The sequence below is a fragment of the Homo sapiens genome, chromosome 1 (genome assembly GCF_000001405.40).
Source record: "Homo sapiens chromosome 1, GRCh38.p14 Primary Assembly".
Classification (NCBI taxonomy): domain Eukaryota; kingdom Metazoa; phylum Chordata; class Mammalia; order Primates; family Hominidae; genus Homo; species Homo sapiens.
In genome coordinates this window covers 22,693,711-22,695,859 of record NC_000001.11, presented here as the reverse complement: position 1 = coordinate 22,695,859, position 2,149 = coordinate 22,693,711, and the positions used below count along the sequence as shown (strand labels likewise).

The 2,149-nt window shown below is 51.4% G+C and overlaps 2 annotated features.

The window, feature by feature from the left end:
• Window positions 278–778: an enhancer, noted in NCBI's record as "H3K27ac hESC enhancer chr1:23021575-23022075 (GRCh37/hg19 assembly coordinates)". NCBI's record gives its function as "activates a minimal SCP1, AML or CMV promoter by ChIP-STARR-seq in primed H9 embryonic stem cells {active_cell/tissue: H9 hESC(primed)}" and the evidence as "EXISTENCE:reporter gene assay evidence [ECO:0000049][PMID:30033119]".
• Window positions 779–1,279: an enhancer, noted in NCBI's record as "H3K27ac hESC enhancer chr1:23021074-23021574 (GRCh37/hg19 assembly coordinates)". NCBI's record gives its function as "activates a minimal SCP1, AML or CMV promoter by ChIP-STARR-seq in primed H9 embryonic stem cells {active_cell/tissue: H9 hESC(primed)}" and the evidence as "EXISTENCE:reporter gene assay evidence [ECO:0000049][PMID:30033119]".

Below are 2,149 nucleotides of genomic sequence, written 5' to 3'. Positions count from 1 at the left end.
TAGTAGAGATAGGGTTTCACCATGTTGGCCAGGCTGGTCTTGAACTCCTGACCTCAGTCAATCCGCACTCTTCGGCCTCCCAGAATGTTGGGATTACAGGCGTAAGCCACCGTGCCCGGCCTCATTTCACTTTTATTAACATCGCTAAATTTTCTAATTTAAAATTCCACATGCAGCTCCCTTATATTTTGGTTGCACAGTGAGGCTCTGGACCAGTGCTGTCTGAGAACTTTCTGCGATAATGAAACTGTTCCGTTCTGCAGGGTCCAGTAGGGTAGCCACTAAGTTACATGTGGCTATTGAGAACTTGAACTATGACTAGGGCGACTGAGCAAGTGCAGTTTTAATTCTAATTCATTGTAATTAATTTAAATTGGACTTTAAATGACCACACGTGCCTCGTGGCTACTGTATTGTATAGCACAGCTCCAGAGAGGTGGGCTTTTCTGCCTTGTGGAGACAAACAAGTGTCACGGTGTGTTCTGGGTGTCCCAATAGATGTGTGTTTACAGGGTGTGGGGGACTCAAGGAGGAGGTCGGTGGACAGGACTCAGAGAGGTTAAGGATTACTCAAGGGCACACAGCTGGGAGGTGGTAGATTCAGGGGTTGGCCCCAGGTGAGCCTCCCTCGAAGCCCTGGGCTTGTTCTCAAGGTTTGCTGCCTCCTTTGCGGGGTGGCAGGGCATCTCCAAAGAACCCCTCCAAGTCAACCACTGACCTGTACCACTCCACCCCAGAGCACCTGTCCTCCTGGGCACCCTGCTGGAACCCCCTTCCAGGCTGAGGTGACATGCCGACCTGCCTCAGTATGTGCTCAGATACTGTCGCCCTCCCCGCCCTCATCCCTCAGCACTTCACGCCTGAATCGTGGCCTCTCTGCGCTGGCCACACCCTGTCTCATCCCACCCCTCCTACGTGCTCTCCAGGCCCCTGGCATCCTGTCCTATCATCTGCTCTGGGAAGAGTGACTGCCCCTGCCTGTGGCCTGCTACCTTTCCATGGCTTCCGGGCTTGCCGGGTACTTTATTATTAATAATACTTTTATTTTTCTGAGATGGAGTCTTACTCTGTTGCCCAGGCTGGAGTGTGGTGGCGTGATCTCAGCTCCTGCAACCTCCACCTCCCAGGTTCAAGAATTCTCCTGCCTCAGCCTCCCAAGTAGCTGGGATTACAGGAATGCACCACCACGCCCGGCTAAATTTTGTATTTTTAGGAGAGACAGGGTTTCATCATGTTGGTCAGGCTGGTCTCGAACTGCTGACCTCGTGATCCACCCACCTCGGCCTCCCAGCATGCTAGGATTATAGGTGTGAGCCACTGCGCCCAGCCCCAGGTACTTTAAAATGCAGAAATTGAACTCCCATCTCATGTGGAAGCAATACCAGGAGAAGCCTGGCTCACTGCTCCCTTACCAGGCTGAGGATGGGCAGGGCTCCAACCCCCGAGCTGCCAAATGTTTGTGTGACTACGGGCAAGTCACTTCTCTCCAACCCTCAGTTTCCTCATCTGTAAAATGGACATAATGATAGCATAGGGCTCTTATGAACATTAAATGCAGCAAGGGATGCAAAGTACCCTGTTAACTGTCAAATGAAATGCAAGCATGGGAAATCATTATGGTCCTTACTGTGGGCCGGACGCTCTGCTAGGTGTTACCCTCATGCTAACCTCATGCTGTAGTGGCTTTGAATTATTTAAATCCTTAAATCCTCCTCTTTTCAGAAGGTGGAGTCTAATTCCCTTCCCTTGAGGGTGGCCTGGACTTCGTGGCTTGCTTGTAACTAATGGAATAAAGTAGAAGTGATGATGACGTATGACTTTGGAGACTAAGTCATAAAAAGGTGCCGTGGCTTGCTCCTCTTGCTGTCTCGTATTGGGGGGTGTTAGCTGCCATGTCTTGCGGACTCTTGGACACATATTGGGAGGCCCAGGTGGTGAGAAACAAGGCCTCCTGCAAGGTTCTAGCAAGGAACTGAGGCCTCTTGCCAGGAGCCCTGGGAGTGAGCCACCGGCTATGCGGGCCCTTCAGCTTCAGGCAGAACTTTAGATGACTGCAGGCCCTGCTGACATTCTGACTGTAACCACGTGAAAGACCCTCACCTAGAACCAAAGCCACTCCTGAATTCCTGACCCACAGAAACTGTGGTTT